At 48.9% G+C, this 20,575-nt stretch overlaps 2 protein-coding genes across 7 annotated transcripts in view, besides 5 other annotated features; both read right to left on the minus strand.

Annotated features, from left to right (window-relative positions):
- Positions 1-20,575, minus strand: part of VDAC1 (voltage dependent anion channel 1) — a 142,670-nt gene that overhangs the window by 97,052 nt on the left and 25,043 nt on the right. For 2 of the 6 annotated variants that reach the window (NM_001401017.1, NM_001401016.1), the window contains exon 1: positions 1,920-2,089. The exons of 2 other annotated variants lie outside the window; for them this stretch is intronic. The gene's annotated coding sequence lies outside the window, so the exon portion shown is untranslated. Of the gene's footprint in view, positions 1-1,919; positions 2,090-5,842; positions 5,969-7,825; positions 7,968-20,575 lie in introns of those variants that run through there. 2 more of the 6 variants (NM_001401011.1, NM_001401010.1) reach the window with 2 other exon arrangements.
- Positions 2,256-2,315: a silencer, noted in NCBI's record as "silent region_16352". NCBI's record gives its function as "represses an Ori minimal core promoter by ATAC-STARR-seq in GM12878 lymphoblastoid cells {active_cell/tissue: GM12878}" and the evidence as "EXISTENCE:reporter gene assay evidence [ECO:0000049][PMID:35858748]".
- Positions 2,396-2,515: a silencer, noted in NCBI's record as "silent region_16353". NCBI's record gives its function as "represses an Ori minimal core promoter by ATAC-STARR-seq in GM12878 lymphoblastoid cells {active_cell/tissue: GM12878}" and the evidence as "EXISTENCE:reporter gene assay evidence [ECO:0000049][PMID:35858748]".
- Positions 2,986-3,085: an enhancer, noted in NCBI's record as "active region_23121". NCBI's record gives its function as "activates an Ori minimal core promoter by ATAC-STARR-seq in GM12878 lymphoblastoid cells {active_cell/tissue: GM12878}" and the evidence as "EXISTENCE:reporter gene assay evidence [ECO:0000049][PMID:35858748]".
- Positions 12,891-13,229, minus strand: LOC124901069 (short transmembrane mitochondrial protein 1-like). Its single transcript, XM_047417988.1, has one exon. It carries the CDS (start codon positions 13,146-13,148, stop codon positions 12,987-12,989), a length of 162 nt encoding a protein of 53 aa, XP_047273944.1. The 5' UTR covers positions 13,149-13,229; the 3' UTR covers positions 12,891-12,986.
- Positions 17,775-18,275: an enhancer, noted in NCBI's record as "H3K4me1 hESC enhancer chr5:133422388-133422888 (GRCh37/hg19 assembly coordinates)". NCBI's record gives its function as "activates a minimal SCP1, AML or CMV promoter by ChIP-STARR-seq in naive H9 embryonic stem cells {active_cell/tissue: H9 hESC(naive)}" and the evidence as "EXISTENCE:reporter gene assay evidence [ECO:0000049][PMID:30033119]".
- Positions 18,276-18,776: an enhancer, noted in NCBI's record as "H3K4me1 hESC enhancer chr5:133422889-133423389 (GRCh37/hg19 assembly coordinates)". NCBI's record gives its function as "activates a minimal SCP1, AML or CMV promoter by ChIP-STARR-seq in naive H9 embryonic stem cells {active_cell/tissue: H9 hESC(naive)}" and the evidence as "EXISTENCE:reporter gene assay evidence [ECO:0000049][PMID:30033119]".

A 20,575-nucleotide genomic window follows, 5' to 3' on the forward strand; every position in this document is an offset into this window, starting at 1 on the left:
CTAAAGTGAATTTAGAACAGAAAAAAACTTCTCTGGGAGGTGACTGTGTGTGTGTGTGTGTGTGTGTGTGTGTGTGTGTGTGTGTGTGTTCACGTGCGCCTTTTAGTAAAAGCAAAGTTTACTTAGTAGCAGTCCTCTCTGGGAGTCCCAGCAAGACTCCCACCCACACAGCCACCCCCCATGTTTTACTGTGCTTTCAGAAGAAAAAAAATGAATGTTAAAGAAATCAGAAGCACAAAATGAATTACAGTAATAATCTGCCAAATTAGAAACAAAAACTTCAAAGGATCACCAGAGCTGACTAGAGATAAGGGAAATTTTTTTAGTGTTCTCTAAACCTTATGGTGCAGGATGGAGGGGCCCATTTCAATGGGCTATAGTCCCAACCCTCTGAATAAATCCTGGGAGAACATAGTTCTCAATACTTCTCCACCAGCCATCACCTAATAATTCAGGAGTGTTCTTAATCAGAGGAACATATGAAGGTGGAGCAGGGCAGGAGGAAGGAATGATGATCCCCTCAGAGGTGAGGGGTCTCTCCCATAGCCAGCTGATCACCACCTATTAGGAAGGAAGCTGAATGTCTGACAAGTCCTGGAAGCTTCCTCTACCACCCAGGCCTCCTGAATGGCATCGAAGAAAGGTTGAATCATCAGACCCGGAGCCTCTAGGAGACCACACTATGGCCTTTGGGGAGTGAGGGGGTCTCACTCCTGCTTCTCAGCGTTTCTCTTTATTTCTCTACCTTTGAGGGTTCGGGTTGGGTTAGGGCTGGTTTGCATGCTGATGGATGTGTCAAAAGTGTTTGAACCAGAGCAACTCCATCTTGAGTAAAATGAGGCTGAGACCTACTGGGTTGCATTGCCAGATGATTAAGGCATTCTAAGTCACAGGATGAGATAGGAGGTCGGGACAAGATACAGGTCATTGAGACCTTGCTGATAAAACAGATTGCAGCAAAGAAGCTGGCCAAAACCCACCACAACCAAGATGGCGACAAGAGTGACCTATCTTCATCCTTACTGCTACACTCTCACCAGCACCCTGACAGTTTACAAATACCATGGCAACATCAGAAAGTTACCCTATACGGTCTAAAAAGGGGAGGCATGAATAATCCACCCCTTGTTTAGCATGTGATAAAAAAAAAACAGCCATACAAATGGGCAACCAGCAGCCCTCTGCTCTGTCTGTGAAGTAGCCATTCTTTTATTCCTTTACTTTCTTATTTTTTTTGGAGGTGGAGCCTCGCTCTGTTGCCCAGGCTGGAGTGCAATGGCGTGATCTCGGCTCACTGCAACCTTTGCTTCCCAGTTTCAAGCGATTCTCCTGCCTCAGCCTCCCGAGTAGCTGGGATTATAGGTGCCTCCCAGCATGCTCGGTTAATTTTTTTTATTTTTGGTAGAGATGGGGTTTCATCCTATCTAGTCACCCTAGTCCAAGAGCTAGGCTGCTGTCCGTGATCTGCCCATCTCGGCCTCCCAAAGCGCTGGGATTACAGGCTTGAGCCACCACGCCTGGCTGAACTAAGGTTTTATCTAAACAACATTTATTTTTAAATACATGATTATGGCGTAGAGTATTAAACATTTCAGAAACGCCTAAGATAATCACAGTCATCCTTTAATCCCAGCACCCAGAGAGAACCACTACTAAGAATGTGTTGTCTTATTTCCTTCCAGTCTTTTTTCCATACAGGCTTATATAGTTATTGGTTAACAATGTCAAGAGCAATTTTTTTTGTTCATAGTAAATATTCTATGTCATCATTACTCATGATTTGAAGTCTCGGATTTTCCCCAATGCTGTCTGGCCGGTGGTAAACTATTAGTTTATTAGTGAATATAATAATCTCTACTGCTGAATATTCCCACGGTTTCCCAGTTCTAAGCAATGCTCCAATGCGTCATAGCACATACCTTTTTGCACGTATCTGCGATTATTTTCTAGGCAGCAAGGAGGTGCTGGATCAGAGGTCTGCACAGTTTTAAAGAACTTGTACAAATTTATTGCCAAAATGGCTCGTAGGATTTTCACAGGAAACCGGTCCAAGCGTCACCATCCCCAGCCGCTTCCCAGGGGCGTAAACCCCGCCCAGCAGAGGAACCTAGGGGTGGGGGCTCTGACGTCCCACCCTGAGTCCCGAGGGGTGACCAATCTTTCAGGCAGTGTTAGGGGTTAACCCAACACACCTCGACCCCGCGACCCCGGAGGCGGATTCCCCCGAGGGGATCCTCGGCCCAGCCTTCCTGGGGGATGAATTTACAAAGAGTTCCCAGCGGGTGCCACCCTCCCCTTCCCTTGGAAGGCGCTCAGCCACTGCCAAGGTGCGGACGCAGCGGGGGCGGCGCCGTGCGGGAGGGGGCAGCCAGCGCGGCCACTTCAAAGCGCCGCGTGTAGGGCGGCAGGGGAAGGGCTGGACTTGGAGGCCCACAAAGGGACTCGCCCCTTCCCCCCAACCCTGGGCCCAGCCGCGCCAGCTGTGCAGGTGGCGACATCCTCCTCGCCCAGCCTCGGGGGAGCGCCCTTCTCCACGCCTCCAACCCACCCTGTCATTCCCACCTAGAGACCCTCAGCCTCAGGGCTCTCAGCCTCCGGCACTTTTGGCTGCGTGTGGTAAATGCAGATGACCAGCTTCACCCAGACCAAAAGTAACACCTTAAGCTTTTCCACCACGCAGAATTCCCCTTAGCCTTGACTTTCGTTTTTTGGGTGAGGGGTGAGTGTCTTGAAAGAAATGAGAAGTTAAGTTTTGAGTCTGAAAGAATTAAAATTCTCTGCCCCCACCCCCACCCAGTTCCAGTATTAGTGCGGAGTTGGAGGGTGGCTGTGGGTTGAGGGGTGGGGTGCTGGATCCTGGACACAGCATGGCCTTGCCCTTAGCCCTTGTGGGCGGACCTGGGGTCTGCGAAATGCTGACATAATGGTCACAGATCCACTCCACCCCTCCTGCTTGGGAAGGGAGAAGCCAGTCTCCCCTCTCTGTACATGCTCCTCTGTGGTGGGCCTGTCCCAGGGTAACCCCTGGATAGGAGGCTGGAGTTTACCCCCAGGGCTCCTTTGGCATCTGAGGTTGTGTGGAAGTTGTTTCTGGTAGTGGAATCCAGTCCCCCACAGCAGCAGCGATGCAAAGGGGTTCTCAAGTAGCTGAGCAGCTCGCCCTAGGGTCCAGCCCACCGATTCCAGGGAATGCAAAGGCTAGTCCATCTTGCAGACACCTTCTAAGAACTTCATCTCATTATTTACTCAACAGGGACTGTTAGGCACCTACTATATATTAGATGTTGGGCTTACAACCATGAACAATAACCAGTCAAGAGAGACAGGACTTTATACGTTACCCAACCAGAGAGAGAGGGTACCCCAAATATTACTGCCCAGGATTAAAACTGGAGCCAGACTCTGTCCCACTGAAGGGGCAGGACCTGCTGCAGCTCTCAGGAGCTCCAAAGGAGCTTCCATCCATCTCACAGGATTTGTGGTCACTTTGTGGTAGGTAACAGAGCCTCCTTCCCACCTCCCTTCGCTACCTGCAACAAACAGAGGAACCTGCAGTTGACGGGAATCCTCTTTCTCATGATCAAGGTGGCTGATGTTCATGGACAGCACACTGGGGGGAAAGGACCAGGAGTTCTGTGAACTGCAGGGTGACACAGCTCTGCTCTGGGCAGAAACACCGGACAAATGCCCATTGGGTCTGACCATCAGCCTGCAACTGGACCATCCTCAGGTGCAGAAGTGTCCAAGCCACCAAGTAAGCCCAGGAAGGGCAGTAAGTCTTTCTGGATGGTCTTTAGTTCCAAGGGTCCCAGCTCCAGGTTCCTCCTACCTCTGCCCCAGTGATGGTCTCCTCCAACCCCATTGTGACCTCCTGCAGTCCAGCTGGGAACAAAGAGAACATCAGGGTCTTGAAACCTCAAGACTTTTAGAAGACCTTCTCTGGGGATGTGGTCTCCCGTTGTTTCTGTTATGAAAACCCCAGAGCACTTCCCAATCATGTTGTGTAAACAGCTCGCTGCCAGCCTCAGAACCCTTCATTTAGCTCCAAAGGGAAGAATGGGGTGAGTCGCTCACTGCACGGGGGTGGGCGGTTGGATGCCAAGAAAAGGACAGTCCTGCAGGCTATGTCAAGAGTCAAGAGGTCCTAGGCTTTTAGGCCTAGCTGGAACATCTGACCCGGCAGCCCTGTTAGCCAGACCTCTGGACCCATCACCAGTGCCCTGAAGCCCCTGCCTCCCAAAGGGATGCCAGGTAGGGCACCTACCTCTTAGTAGAGGGAGGGGCCCAAGATTAATTCTCCTTGAATATTGTCTTCCTAGGATGATGTGACTCTTCAAGTAAGTAGAGGCTGAGCAGCTAACACCCTGAGGCAGCAATTCCCAAAGTCCTTAAACCAGGGGCATCGCATGGGAACTTGCTAGAAATGCAAATTCTCAGGCCTCATCCCAGTCCTCCTGAATCAGAAATTCCAGGGGTCTGGCCCGCCAATGTATAGCTTAAAAACCTCTCCAGGTAGTTTCCATACCCAACAAAGTTTGAGCATCACTGCTGTGGGTTGAGGAAGACATATTATTTTACCCTTTACTTGAATACCTCCTCTGATGCAGACCTCATCGCCAAACAAAACAGCCATCCTTGAGTTGAGCTAAGCTGAGTCACACACAAGGATGTTTGCTACAGTGTTGCTTGTCATGGTGACAATCTGGAAACAATGTGAATGTTCATCAGAGAGAGGATGGCAAATAACCCATGGAATACACACTGGAGAATACTAAGCAGTCATTTAAAAAGAAGGAAGTAGGTTTATATACATTGATGTGCAAAGATCTCCAACATGTACCAGTAGCTGAAAAAGGAAGCTGCTGAATAATACATATAACTCAGACTTGTGTGTGTGTGTGTGTGTATATCCCAAACAAAATTATTTTTGTATCTACATACTTAACAATGAAAATGCATTTAAAAAAGACTGGAAGAAGACACATCCAACCAATAACCCTAAGTGGGGGACAGAGATGGGAGAACTCTAGCTTTAAAAATGTTATGTTTTTTCCCATTATTTGTATTATATATGTCACTGAAAGTCAGCCTAAGAATGAATAAAAGCTGGCTGGGCGCAGTGGCTCACACCTGTAATCCCAGCACTTTGGGAGGCTGAGGCGGGCAGATCATGAGGTCAGGAGATTGAGACCAGCCTGGCTAACATGGTGAAACCCCATCGCTCCTAAAAATGCAAAAAATTACTTGGGCGTGGTGGCAGGCACCTGTAGTCCCAGCTACTCGAGAGGCTGAGGCAGGAGAATGGCATGAACCCGGGAGGCAGAGCTCGCAGTGAGCCAAGATCCTGCCATTACACTGGGCCACAGAGCCAGACTCCATCTCAAAATAAATAAATAAATAAATAAATAAATAAATAAATAAATAAATAAATAAAAGCTTTGAAATGACATCTACTTTGAAAAAGGACATTAAACTTGGGAGCAAACATGCTAGCATGGGGGTGTTCTGTGACCTCATGTCAGACACAGAGCCTGGGTGGGAGTTGGGCCCCAGGGAACTGACCCTGACTTACCAATGCGAGATCACCCCGAGAAGAGGGAAGAGGGGCTCACAGTGTAAGTCCAGGGCAGAGGTTTGGTTGCCAGGTAGCAGCTTACAGGCCACCAGTCAGGCCTGGTCAACCAACCTATGAGGTACCCGTGGCAGCCTCACCCTTCCCAGGCCTCTTCTCCTCCAGGTTTAGCCCACCCAGCCCCAGTCACTCAGTGGTGGGAGGACCACTGGCTTCCCTTTCCCAATAGCACTTAGAGTTTTAAAAAGAAACCTGAAGAACAATGCTTACCCTGCCCTATATGGGATCATGTACTGATGCAGGGAACTCCAAGCAGATGAAGGGAGATTTGGTATTGATGGTCCTCACATGTGCCATGAAGACATCCACCACCAAAGGCTCCTTTGCCAGGAAAACCTAGACAGAGCAAATGGCACAGTCATGGATGCCACACTGACTGCCCCAGACTCCAGACCTGGGTCCTAGCCCTCCTCTCTACTCATAACTTTGCTCAGTGGTACAGCTCGTCCAGCCATTTGGACTCTCAGCAGGCCACAGAGCTTTTTCATACACTATGCACACAGTCTGGATACACTATTCACACTATGATTTGCACACAATTCACATGCTATTCATACTACCATCGCTGCTACTATTCACAGTACTGGCCACATACTAGTTACACTCCTATGCACATGCTATTTATATACCATTTGCACACAGTTCACACTACCATTCACACTTCTATTTGCACTGTTTGCACACTATTCATGCTATTACTATTCATACGATTCACACTGCTATCTGCATGCTATTCACACTGCCATTCACACTATTCACACTGCAATTCACAGTGCTATCCACACTGCTTTTCCCACTACTTTCACACTGCTATTTACAATACTATCCACACACTAGTCACACTCCTGTTAGCACACTACTCACACTACTATTCAGACTACTATTCACACACTATTTACACTGCTATTCACATGGTTATTGACACTATGTTCACAATACTTTCATACTGTTATTCACACTACTATTCATACACTACTCACTACTATTCACACACTATACACGATACTGGTTTTTTGTTTGTTTGTTTGTTTTTTGTTTTTTGTTTTTGAGACAGAGTCTCGCTCTGTTGCCCAGGCTCGAGTGCAGTGGCGCAATCTCGGCTCACTGCAACCTCCACCTCCCGGGTTCAAGTGATTCTCCTGCCTCAGCCTCCCGAGTAGCTGGGGCTACAGGCGCGTGCCACCAGGCCCGGCTAATTTTTTGTATTATTTTAGTAGAGACGGGGTTTCACCATGTTAGCCAGGATGGTCTCGATCTCCTGACCTGGTGATTCGCCCGCCTCAGCCTCCCAAAGTGCTGGGATTACACGCGTGAGCCACCGTGCCCGGCCCTTGCTACCATTTTCATACTATTCACAATACTCTTCACAACACTACTTATGCACTACTGAGCTTGCAACACTCTCTCTCAAACCCTCTCATGGTTTTTTTGTTTTTTTGTTTTTGAGATGGAGTCTCCCTCTGTCACCCAGGCTGGAGTGCAATGGCATGATCTTGCTAACTGCAACCTCTGCCTCCCGGGTTCAAGCAATTCTCCTGCCTCAGCCTCCCAAGTATCTGGGATTATAGGCACATGCCACCATGTCTGGCTAATTTTGTATTTTTAGTAGAGACAGGATTGCACCACGTTGGTCAGGCTGGTCTTGAACTCCTGACCTTAGGTGATCCACCTGCCTCGGCCTCCCAAAGTGCTGGGATTACAGGCATGAGCCACCATGCCCAGCCCTCTCTCACCTTGATAACTCCTATGCACCCTTCAGATCTCTGCTGGATCCTCACATCGTGTGGAGGCCTTCCTGAGTCCCCCAGACTCACAGGTCACTTTCTGCAAGGTCAGCCTTCACTGTCACCTCAGACATTTCCTTTGTTGCCATATGTGTTTCGGTGTGTCTAAAGTTTGTGCATGTCTGTCTCCTGATCTGCCCTCCCAGACCCTGAGTCCTGTACTGGCAAGGCTAAGTCTGTTTAGCTCACTGCTCTCGCCCGAGCACCCAGCACAGCCCAGTACCCAGTGGATTCAGGTCCCAGGAAGATCTGTGGTGTGTGCAAGGGACTCCATACCCAGGCAGGCTCATCCTTGGCTGACAGTTCTTATACCATACAGCCTTCAAAGGGCTCAAGACACGGCCCTCCTCCCAGTGGCTGTGTGCATCTAGTTGTAAGGCAAGGGGCTGGATCAGATAGAATATCATACCATCCAAAGACTCCAGAGGCCTTAGGTACAGGAGGCTGAAGAGGCAGGAGAGACAACCATCTGGCTCTCTGGGAGCTGATCAGGTTATTTTAAACATGTACAGTTTGCCTGTTCTTCACCTGATGTGGGCCTCTGTGGGTACCTAACAGGAGATCCGGAGGCAGGTCTAATTTAATGATCAGATAATAATTATTACTAATTAGCACTATCCTTGTAAATAAGCAATTTAAGTATTTCTTCATTTAAGAAGTCCAAGCACGGTAGCTCACCGCTGTAATCTCAGCACTTTGGGAGGCCGAGGCGGCCAGATCACTTGAGGCCAGGAGTTCGAGACCAGTCTGACCAACATGGCGAAACCGTCTCTATTAAAAATACAAAAATTAGCCAGGCGTGGTGGCGTGCACCTGTAATCCCAGCTACTTGGGAGGCTGAGGCACAGGAATTGCTTGAACTCAGGAGGTGGAGGCTGCAGTGAGCTGAGATTGCATCGCTGCACTCCAGGCTGGGTAACAGAGCAAGACTCCATCTCAAAAAAAAAAAAAAAAAAAGGGATTAAACATTCACCCTTAAACCTCTTTACTCTCCCAATTGCCTACCAAAGCCTTTGTTCCCTGGCACAGGAAAAAAAACTTCAGCTCAGCCTGGTCTGAAAATCCATTCAGCAAACTCTTACTGAGCACCTACCATGTGCCAGATGCAGCCTCTACCCTCATGGAGCCTACTCCTCAGGAGAGAGGGATCTATGAACTGTTCTCATGTGCATGGGATCTGACCTTCCCAAACTGTGACTTGTACAATTCCCATCACGCTGGCATGCCCCATAAACCATCATGATCGGAACTAATGTGTGTCCAACTCTGTTTAAGAGCTTAATGCATACTCGCTCATTTAATCATCACCATAACCCTATGAGGCAGGTACTTTCCATTGTACAGAATGAGAAAACTGAGGCACAGAGAAGAGCTAGGCCTCCCTTTTGCCCCCCAAGCATCTACCCAGCCTGGGGCAGGGAAGGCATTTCTCTAGGAGTCCAATAATATGTTCTTCAGAGCTCCACAAAAATGGAATGTGGGTTGCCTGAGTGTTTCAGCCTTGGCCACAGGTCAGCTCTCCTACTAAAGCCAGAGAAGGATATGAAAGGTATTCCATGTTCAGAGCAATTCCCTGAAAAAAGACCCTTCCCTTTGGGCCTGCCCACTAATTATCAATGCCACAGGACTTTTTCCTTATTAAAGCAAGCCGCATCAGGGAGCCTGGGAGGCAGGGGAGAGGTGGAGTCTGTCACATGCTACAAACTGCTTCCAGGCCCAGTCTGATCCCTTGAGGTTATGAAAGGCACAGAGAGGTGGCCATCTAGCACACACTGCCCAACACCTGCTCTATGCCAGACCGTCCTTGACTGAGCAGGGCTGGGCTGGGCTGGCCTGCAGACACAGAGCCAAATTGGACCCCTGCCCTCAAAGAGGCTAGAGATGCCCGTGGGAGGTGCATGCAAAACTGAGCTGCACACACAGACAGAGGAGGGAGACCCACTCCAGCTGTGGTCAGGAAAGGTGAAGTGGGTGGGGCAGGACAGGGGGGAGGCGAGGGATTCGGCTGAAAGTTGAGAGTTGGTGCACTGTGCGGTCCAGGGGCAGGCAGCAGCTGGGAGCAGGTGCCTATTCAGAGCACTACACAAGGCCCAGGAGGACAGGAAGACTTGGGGCTTGTTTAGGGACCCGCCACCGCAAGGCACCTGGGTGTTCACAGAATGAGCAAAGAGAGCACACTGGGGAGCAAGGATGAGTTCTGACAGATGGAAGGCCACCCTGAGCCCAGTAGGGCCTTTACATTTGCCACATAGCAGGTGTGCAAGATAGTAAGTAAGAAGGTCCATTTGTGATGTCGTCCCTCAAGCATCTTTTTTTTTTTTTTTTTTTTGAGACAGAGTTTTGCTCTTGTCGCCCAGGCTGGAGTGCAATGGCACGATCTTGGCTCACTGAGACCTCCACCTCCTGGGTTCAAGCAATTCTCCTGCCTCAGCCTCCCAAGTAGCTGGGATTACAGGTGCCCACCACCACACCCAGTTAGTTTTTGTATTTTTAGTAGAGATGGGGTTTCACCATGTTGGCCAGGCTGCTCTCAAACTCCTGACCTCAGATGATTTGCCCACCTCAGCCTCCCAAAGTGCTGGGATTACAGGCGTGAGCCACTGTGCCCGGTCTATTTTTTTTGACCCCCCTCCTTTTTTTTTTTCTTTTTTTGAGATAGGGTTTCACTCTGTGGCCCAGGCTGGAGTGCAGTGGTGCCATCTTGGCTCACTGCAGCCTCTGCCTCCCAGGCTCAACTGATTCTCCTCCCTCAGCCTCCAGAGTAGCCAGGATTACAGACACACACATGCCACCATGCCCGGTTAATTTTGTTAATCTTTTTGTAGAGTCCAGGTCTCACTATGTTGCCCAGGCTGATCTCCAACTCCTGTGCTCAAGGGATCCTCCTGCCTCAGCCTCCCGCAGTGCTGGGATTACAGGTATGAGCCACCACGCCTGGCCCCCTCAAGCATCTAGGACAGATGCTCTGGCCACTGTGTGGCCCATACGTGGAATGGGACCAGGCGACACAGTGAGGAGAGAGTGGCATCACCGTCTGATGGGGACCAGGGGTCTGGACTAAAACCATCACAGAGAGCAGAGGGAGGAGCGGGAGGATTTGGGAAACACTGAGGGAGAAGCATAGATGGACTTAGTCTCCACTCGGGGTGGAGAATGAGGGAACAAAAAAGCCTGGGAGGTGCCTTCAGGGTGTCTGGCTCAAGGGAGCAGGTGGAGGTGATATTTGCTGAGCCAGGAATCTGGGAGAAGTGGCATTTGTTTTGGGACAAGTTGCATTTCAATCTAAATTAGTTGGAGACCTACCATGTGCCCAGCCAGATCCTCCCTTTGTTTGCAAAGCCTTAGATTGCTAGATCATTTCCAAGGCCTGGCAGCACAAAGCCCCAGGCCTTCCCAGGTGAGTTGCTGCCCCAGGCCTTCCCAGGTGAGTTGCTTTTGGCGGAGGCATCTGCTGGTGGGGCCTCAAGGGCCACTGATACCCTAACTTTCACCCCAAGAAACCCACTCCATGAGGGAGCTCAGAGGCCAGAACAGAGAATACAGGTTGTTGTTGACATAAGAGGAAAAACCAGGCTTCCTGTTTGAACTTATGCAGGTACTGGAAGCTCTGAGTAATGCTGAATCTTGTCTTGCCCCAAAGGCGGCCTGCGGTGGGGGCTTCTCACAATTGCTCTCAAGAGTGGCTTTCAAGCATTTGCTTACAGGGGACGTGAGGCCCGGCCAGTGGGTGCTGCATAGAAAAACACTGCATCCATGTAGAGAGGCCACAAGATGTGTGACATCAAAGCCGGCTGAGCATTGGCCTCTCTCAGGCCACTCACTGTGGTCATTTGCCCTCGATAAGAACCCATCGTCAGACACGAAGGATTTCTCACATGTCCGGTGGCCACTTTCACAGTCCCTGGTGGCCTTTACTCCCACAAAACAGACTATTTCTAGGCCCTTGGACACTGGGATTGTCTCCTTTTGCCCGGCCTGGGGTCGAGCCAGTGAGAGATGCCAGGGCCCAGGACTCACTCTGGGCCAGAAAAGCTGGCCTGCATTGCGTGAACTCCCTGTGGGACCTGGGGCAGAGCCCTTGGTCTCTCCCAGCCCCAGACCCCTGTCTGTAATGGGACCTTGCAGTGAAACAAAAACTGCAAGCCTCCACGGAGGTACAGTACCACGGGCAGGTTAAGTCACGGAGGTACAGTACCACGGGCAGGTTAAGTCACCGAGGTACCATACCGTGAGCAGGTTAAGTCGCGGAGGTACAGTATCATGGGCAGGTTAAGTGTTGGGGCACCAACAACATGAGTTGACATTTATTGTGCTCTTACCACCCACCAGACTGGGCTAGTGCTGTATCTCATTTAAGTCTCACAACAATATTCCTGGACATGGTTCTATTCTAAAACAAACATTTGTTCATATTTTTCAACTTTATTGAGGTATAATCGAAGTCTACTGAGCTATACATATTTAAAGTGTATAACTGACAAGAGGTTTTTTCTCTAGATATTAATTTTAATTATTTTAAGACTACATAAATTTTTTATTTTATTTATTTATTTATTTTGAGACAGAGTATTACTCTTGCCCAGGCTAGAGGGCAATGGCGCAATCTCGGTTCACTGCAACCTCCACCTCCCAGGCTCAAGCGATCCTCCCACCTTAGCTCCCAAGTAGCTTGGATTACAGGTGTGAGCCACTATGCCTAACTTTTTTTTTTTTTTTGAGACGGAGTTTTGCTCTTGTTGCCCAGGCTGGAGTGCAATGGCGCGATCTCAGCTTACTGCAACCTCTGCCTCCCAGGTTCAAGTGATTCTCCTGCCTCAGCCTCCCAAGTAGCTGGAATTACAGGCATGCGCCACCAAACACGGCTAATTTTTTGTATTTTTAGTAGAGATGGGGTTTCACCATGTTGGCCAGGCTGGTCTTGAACTCCTGACCAGGTGATCTGCCCGCCTCGGCCTCCCAAAGTGCTGGGATTACAGGCGTGAGCCACCGCACCCAGCCCTAGATAACTTTTTGTATTTTTGGTAGAGACAGGGTTTCACCATGTTGCCCAGGCTGGTCTCAAACTCCTGACCTCAGGCAATCTACCCACCTCAGCCTCCCAAAGTACTGGGATTACAAGTGTGAACTACTGTGTCCAGCCAAAACAACACAATTTAGTACCAAATGTTTAACAAGCACCTATTTTAATTGCTAAAAACTGTGAAATAAAAGTATTATTTGTATTTGACCTGCTATACAAAACTCATCAATTTTTCTTTTGACAAAAGGTAGTAGAAATCCCAAATAAATAAGAGACTACTCATTAAAGGTCATGTTTACTAATCAAGCACCATAATTCCAGTCTTAGAACCTCCCACTCAGCTGGAAGAAGGATATGGTAAGAGGAAACATAATGATAGTTCTCAACTTGGGGCCCCATTTTGCTTCCTCTAAGGCAAAAACACAGGGTCTAGCAAGGAAGAAAATCACTGAGGCTGGAGATAAAAACAAAAGGCTTTGGTTGAGATGGTAAAGGAGGCCCTCAAGAGTGGTGGAATCAGTGTATCCAGAAGGCAGTGCTGGAGTCGGCCTCATGAACTAGGGGGTTTCTTTCTTCCCGGCATCAAGTCCTTTTTTTTAGCCAGGTTTGGTGCATCATAGTTCTGAGCCAGATACATTCCAACCATGTTGGCCAAAGTGAATCCAAGTAGTAACTGGAGCATGATCGTCAGCAGGGAGGGTAGGGAGGGCATGAAGGGTGGCTGCAGCTCTGCAGGCTGGTCTGAGCCTCCAGTCGATAAGTTTGAACATGTTTACACCCGTGCAGCTATTACTACAATCGATATGATAGACATCTCCAGCACTCCCAAGAGTTTTCTTGTGCTTCTTTGTAATGCATTCCTCCTTCCTTCCACCCCAATCCTCAGGCAACCACTGATCTGCTTTCTGTCAATATAGATTCCTTTATGTTTTCTAGAGTCTTGTATAATTAAATTATACACTATGAACTCTCTTTTGCCTGGATTTTTTCATTCAACATAATTATTGTGAGATTTATCCATGTTGTTACACATACCAATAGTGAATTCCTTTTGATCACTGAATACTACTCCATTGCATGGATATGCCACAATATCTTTATCCACTCATTTATTGGTAGACATTATGGTTGTTTCTAGCTTTGGGCTATTATAAATAAAGTTGCTATAAACATTTGTGTAGAAATCTTTGGGTGGACATGTTTTAATTTCCATTGGGTGAATATCTAGGAGTAGAATGTCTGGATCATATAATAGATACATGTTTATCTTTTCAAGGAACTGCCAAACTGTTATCCAAATTGGTTTTATATTCATATCAGCAATATAACTGCTTCACCTCCTTGCCAACACCTGGTATGGTCAGTTCGGGTTTTCTTTTGTTTCATTTTGTTTTTCAGCTATTCTAATGGATGCAGTAGTGGTACCTCATTGTGGTTTTAATCTGCATTTCCCTGATGACTAATGACGTTGAGCATCTTTTCATGTGCTTGTCAGCCATTCCTATATATATGTCATCAGGGAAATGCAGATTAATATTACATCTATATATATAAAAACTTTTTTGGTGAAATGTCTGTATAAATCTTAGCATCTCTGAAACTGAGATGCATCTTACAATTGATGGCTTTTATAGCTAAACTGGCAAGTAATGCCTTTCCTTTTGTGGTATGACATAAAATATGGTAACCTTGCAATGGATGCAGATTTAGATTTATGAAATACATAAGATTTAGATTTATGAAATACATAAAGTCACTTGCCTTGGGTCACACAGTGATGGAAGACAGAGTGTCAAACCCTGAGCCTGTGCTTTTCTTTTTCTTTTTTTTTCTTTTTTTTTTTTTTTTGGGATGGGGTCTTGCTTTGTTGTCCAGGCTGGAGTGCAGTGGCACAATCTCAGCTCACTGCAACTTCCGCCTCCTGGGTTCAAGCGATTCTCGTGCCTCAGCCTCCCGAGTAGCTGGGACTACAGGCACCTGCCACCATGCCCGGCTAATTTTTGTATTTTTAGCAGAGATGGGGGTTTCACTATGTTGGCCAGGCTGGTCTCAGACTCCTGACCTCAAGTGATTCGCCAGCCTTGGCCTCCCAAAGTGCTGGGATTACAGGCATGAGCCACTGTGCCCAGCCAAGCCTATGCTTTTAAATGTCGCATTATCCTGCATGGTTAGAAGAATCATGACCAAGTTTGTGGTCAGTGGGGAAAACTGTACTTCTGTGCTCTAAGCGCTACGTCAAAGAGCTCTGGAATGTCCAGGCTCCAGACTTCCAGGCCTCAGCTGGCCGTGGTACCCCTCTGCACAGATGTCTCCACTATGAGCCTTCAACTGGCAAGGACTTACCAAAAGCAACTATGTGCCAGGCTAGGGTGTGGAGCAGACAGGATGCAGTCTCTGGCCTGTAGGACTCAGAGTCCAGAGAGGGAGACAAGAGAGACCCAGAGGACAGACACTTAGCAGAGGCTGGGAATGCTCCAGTGAGGGAAGAGTGGCCACGGGCCTGAGCAGTCCTCCAGTGCTTTGTGACCAGGATAAATAAGTCGAGGTGGAGTGGTGCAGAGGTCCCAGGCTTTTTAAGCCCTAAGGTTCAATCCTGGCTCCAGCCCTTATGAGCTGTGTGATCTCAGGCATGTGGCATGAGCCTCATTTTCCTCATCTGTAAAATAGGGGGCAAATTATGCTATCAGCGGTATTTTTATTCTCACTTTACAGATGAGAAAACAAACTTAGAGATGATTAAATAAGAAAATGCATGTAGAGCACTTGGCTCAAACACAGTGTCCTCTGGCTTTAAAGGATAGCTAGGGATCAGGTTGGCAGGGAGGAGGAATGAGAGGATCCCAAGAAAGGAAACCTGTTGATCTAAGGCAGGGAGTGTGGACACAGAGGGGAGGTGCCGAGGTAGGAAGAGTCTACTGGAGTATTGATTCCAGGGCCTCCTCCTCTGAAAGGCCTTGTAGGGGCCTCCGGGAGCAGCTCCTGAATCCTGCCCAGTGTTCTATGTTGGGCCGAGAGCTGAGCTACTGGAGCTGCATGGGGTAAGGAGTCTCAGAGGGCCAGACACTCCAAGCCAGACCCTGGAACTGGCCCGAACTTTGGTCTAAGCAGGTGTCATGGCCATTAGAATGCTTGGCCCTCCAGGGTGGCATGGTTGGGGGGTCCCTGCTGATGGGGCTGCCCACAAGACAGTGGTCCAGAGGTCCCCACATGCCTGCTCAGGTCCTGGCTACCTCCAGCCTGCTGTGGTTCCCATGGCTAGCCACTTCAACTCTCTGTGCCTCAGTTTCCCCATCTCTCAAATGGGAATGGGAAAACATGGCAGGCCTGCCTGCCTTCCCAACCCACAGAGCTGTGGTGGGGATTGAATGAGCTGCTGAAAGCATGTGAATGGGCTTCAAAACCTGCCAGGGGTTAGGCTGATGCAAATCCAAGGCAATCCAGGGAATAACAGAACTATGAACTGTCACGCCTGGCAGAGACCCTAAAGAGATTTTACTGTGACACTGGCATTTTCCTGATGAAGAAATTGAGTCCCAGAGATCTAAAGTAGCTGACCTAGTGTCACACAGCCAGTAGGCCAGGATTCAACCCACGGTTTGACTAATGTAAGCCAGCTCTCACCTCTCTACCTCACAGGCCTGGGATCTCTGGGGTCCTTGGGCACAAGACAAAGTGAAAAATAAAATCAAGAGCCAAGATGATCTCTTTTTTTCTTTTCTTTTTTTTTTGAGACAGAGTCTCACTCTGCTGCCCAGGCTGGAGTGCAGTGGCGCGATCTCAGCTCACTGCAAGCTCCGCCTCCCGGGTTCACGCCTTTCCCCTGCCTCAGCCTCCCGAGTAGCTGGGACTACAGGTGCCCACCACCACGCCCGGCTAGCTTTTTGTATTTTTAGTAGAGACAGGGTTTCACCATGTTAGCCAGGATGGTCTCGATCTCCTGACCTCATGATCCGCCTGCCTCGGCCTCCCAAAGTGCTGGGATTACAGGCGTGAGCCACCGCGTGTGGCCCGAGATGATCCCTCTTAAGAAACCTGGGAAGCCACTGATTTCAGTACAAAGCTTGGAGGTCTTTGAACATGCCTGGTCTCTTCAGACACAATTATGGGACCTCCTCCAGAAGCCCTCCTTTGGCCTCAGGGTTCTTTCTGCAGCTGCTGCTCAAATCGTTCTTACCTTATCTGTAAAATGGGCAGAGAACACCTCAGGGGTTTGCATGGGCTGCCATATTGGTCAACCATCCCCACAGGGCCAGGCGCAGTGGCTCACGCCTGTAATCCCAGCCCTCCGGAAGGCAAAGGTGGGAGGATCACTCGAGGTTAGGAGTTTGAGACCAGCCTGTGCAACATAGCAAGACCCCATTTCTAAAAAAAAAAAAAAAAAAAAAAAAAAAAAAATTTCATTAGCTGAGTATGGTGGCACATACCTATAGTCCCAATCACTCGAGAGGCTGAGATGGGAGGATCACTTAAGCTCAAGAATTTGAGGTTACTATGAGCTATGATCAGCCTGGGTGACAGAATAAGACCCTATCTCTGAAAAACAGAATAAAAAGGCTGGGTGCAGTGGCTCATGCCTGTAATCCCACCACTTTTAGAGTCCAAGGCGTGTGGATCACTTGAGGTCAGGAGTTCAAGACCACCCTGGACAATATGGTGAAACCCTGTGTCTACTAAAAATACAAAAAAATGTAGCCGGGTGTGATGGCGTGTGCCCGTAATCCCAGCCACTTGGGAGGCTGAGGCAGGAGAATCACTTGAACCCGGGAGGCAGAGGTTGCAGTGAGCCAAGATTGTTCCACTGCACTCCAGCCTGGGCAACAGAGCAAGACTCTGTCTCAAATAATAATAATAAAAAATACTTTCTCCATAGAATGGGAGATGATAGACATGAAACTGCTTTAGAAAGAAAAAACAATCATTGCTTACACAAAGCAACACAGGGCCTGTTCCTACTGTGATGTAATGGCTCCAAGGGTAGGCAGCCCTTGGGAGATTGCAAATATTTATGAGCAAAGGGAAGAACTTAAACACAACCACAGGAGATGCAGCAGCTGAGGAACCTGGAACCTGGGAGGCCTCCCCAAGGGTGCTCGGATATTCACAAGCTCTTAGAGACTCTGGGCCACTTAGCATCAGCTTCGCAGAGTCTTTTTAATTAAGGAAAACAGATGGGCATGAACGTGTAGATTCTTGACAGCTTTTGCCAAAGGAAAAACAGCTGTTTCTAGGACGTTTCCCACCATTTTCCTCCTGTCCCAGGACCTCCTTCTGATCAATGCCTGGTGCTTTTTTCTTCTCCTTCTTTTTCTTCCTTCTTCTTTCTTCCTTCTTCCTTCCCCTTCCCCTTCCCCTTCTCCTTCTTTTCTTGGGTGTTGGGGGATGCCAAATCTCCAGTACAGGCAGCACAGAGGAGAATTTCACAGACTCAGCACATTCCCATCCCACTACTCAAAAATTCGGGTACCCGATTTTCCCTTGTGACGTTCATCTTAATGGTGAGCACAAGGTACAGTGAGTGGTTTTGAAGGCAGATTCCTTATCATGGAGCGTTATCTGCACCATCAAAGTACACTTGAAGAAAAAAGCAGTTTCAACATCAAACCTGAAGGTTTGACTGTTGAAAGGAAGAGCCAGGACAAAGCAACCACAGCTTTTATCACAAATTCATGAGGGCGGCGTGCGGTGGGAATACTACATTTTGGGCCTGCTGCTGAGAATGCCTCCACTGCCTTTGAACAAAAAACAAACCATGCTGTGGAAATTGCCAGTAATTGTCTTTACCTACGGTTTCAGAGGGCGCACACCGGGCCTTGTGGTTGTGGGTGCCGTTTCATGCTGGGGTTCGCGTCCCTCCTCTGTTTGGCATAAAGAGAGTGGAACAGATCAGGCCCTCAGATCTGTGTGCACCTGCGGTCGCTGCAAGGAGGGGAGGCGGATTGCTGAGATAAGGCAACAATGGAAAGTTTCTCACCTGAAAGGTCCGGGGAAGAGCCAGGAGGCCTGGGTGCTGGGGAGACTCATCTACCCCAGAAAAATAGGGAGTGGAGAGGAAGCCAGCCCACAGCCCAACCCCCTCCACTGAGGAACCCCGACCCCACAAGCCTCACTTTCTCAAATGGTTTCTTCAACATCAACACCCAGGGATTCCTTGCACCCACTGAAAGGCAGTACTCGCCTTCATGTATCCATAGTTCTTCTTAAAAACAAAAAGAGCGGCCGGGCATGGTGGCTCACGCCTGTAATCCCAGCACTTTGGGAGGCTGAGGCGGGCAGATCACCTGAGGTCAGGAGTTCAAGACCAGCCTGACCAACATGGTGAAACCCCCGTCTCTACTAAAAATACAAAAATAAGCTGGGTGTGGTGGCACGTGCCTGTAATCCCAGCTACTCAGGAGGCTGAGGCAGGAGAATGACTTGAACCCGGGAGGCGGAGGTTGCAGTGAGCTGAGATCGCGCCACTGCACTCCAGTCTGGGAGATAGAGTGAGTGAGACCCTAAAAAACAAAACAAGCAGGGCACGTTGGTTCACGCCTGTAATCCCAGCACTTTAGGAGGCCAAGGCGGGCAGGTCACCTGAGGTCAGGAGTTTTGAGACCAGCCTGACCAACATGGTGAAACCCCATCTCTACTAAAAATACAAAAAAAAATTAGCCGGGCGTTGTAGCGCGTGCCTGTAATCCCAGCTACTCAGGAGGCTGAGGCAGGAGAATCGCTTGAACCCAGGAGGCAGAGGTTGCAGTGAGCTGAGATCACGCCACTGCACTCCAGCCTGGGTGACAAGAGCAAAACCCTGTCTCAAAAAACAAAACAAAACAAAACAAAACAAAAAAAACAAGCAGCTCTGACAACTACTTGATGAGGGAAAAAGCAGAAAATCTCTGAGCAAGGGAACCTGTCCCCAGAGCCCCCAACAAAACCCATCACAGGTCCCAGTGCTGGACTAGGCACAGGGTGGGCCAGGTGCTACTGAAAAGGGGGCCCCCAAGGCCTACTGAGCTTCCAAGCTCTCTGGGGGTCAGGAAGCCCCACTAGCCTGTGACTCCATCAGTCTTAGGGCAGGCCTAGGCCTGAGCCAGGCTGGGAGAGACAGCTGGAAGGGGGCTGACCACAGGCATGGAGGAGGCAAGGGAGAGCATTCCAGGGGTACCAGTGGCCAAAAATGAGACAGAGAAGGAGGCAAACTGGGGAAGGTGCCAGGCTCAATCATTCAATGCCTGTTTTTGTTTTCTTAACCCTTTTTATTGTGAAAAGAAAAACACTCAGGAAAAGCACATAAAGCATAAATGTATAACTTAATGAATTATGACAAAGTGAACACTTATGTAGCCACCTCCAGGATCAAGAAATAGAGCATGGCCTGTCCCCTGGAAATGTCCCACCTACATCTTTCCCCCTTGCTCCTCACTGAAGGTTACCACTATTACCACTATTCCAACTTAGGGTAATTGCTTGCAACATTCCAAGTTTTCCCCCAAGCTTACCTCTCCCCTAACACCATGGAATAGACTGTCCGGTTGTGAACTTCATACGAATGGACTCAATCACACACATCCATTCAGCTTTTGCACCACATATTATGCTGAAGGTTCATCCACGCTGTTGCATGCAGCCATGGTTCCTTCATCATCATGGCAGCTGGCCCCTTTGCCTACTTTGATGCCCTAATTCTCAGTTTGCAAGAAGCTAAGACTGTGGGAGCCCAGAGTCCTGCCTTGCCTGCACCAGCCAGGGGTGCCCAGCCTGCCACAGGCTCTAGGGCTTTGCCTGGACTTGCTTTTCTCCAGATGGCCACCTGCAGGGACAGGCAAGGACAAAGAGCAGAGTGCTCCCAACCGTCTCTGCAAAGCTTTGCATAGGGGCACACCCCAGGCTCTGAGCTGCTCGCCCCAGCCTCAGCGCAGATGACTGATGAGGACAGTAATCTATGGCTGCTCTGCCAGCTCCGAAACCAGCTGGGCACTGGGACCAAGCAATAAACCAGGCACATCCCAAATGAGAAGCAGGTGGCTTCTTAGGACCATATTTCTCAACATCCTGCCCTTATGGTTTGCCCCTTATCCAATGTGGTTCCCATTTGAAGGAGCCTATAACCCATATGAAAAATGATAGAAATTACAGCTCGCCATCCCAGCCTGGCTG

Source organism: Homo sapiens, chromosome 5 (genome assembly GCF_000001405.40).
Source record: "Homo sapiens chromosome 5, GRCh38.p14 Primary Assembly".
NCBI classification, from domain to species: Eukaryota; Metazoa; Chordata; class Mammalia; order Primates; family Hominidae; genus Homo; species Homo sapiens.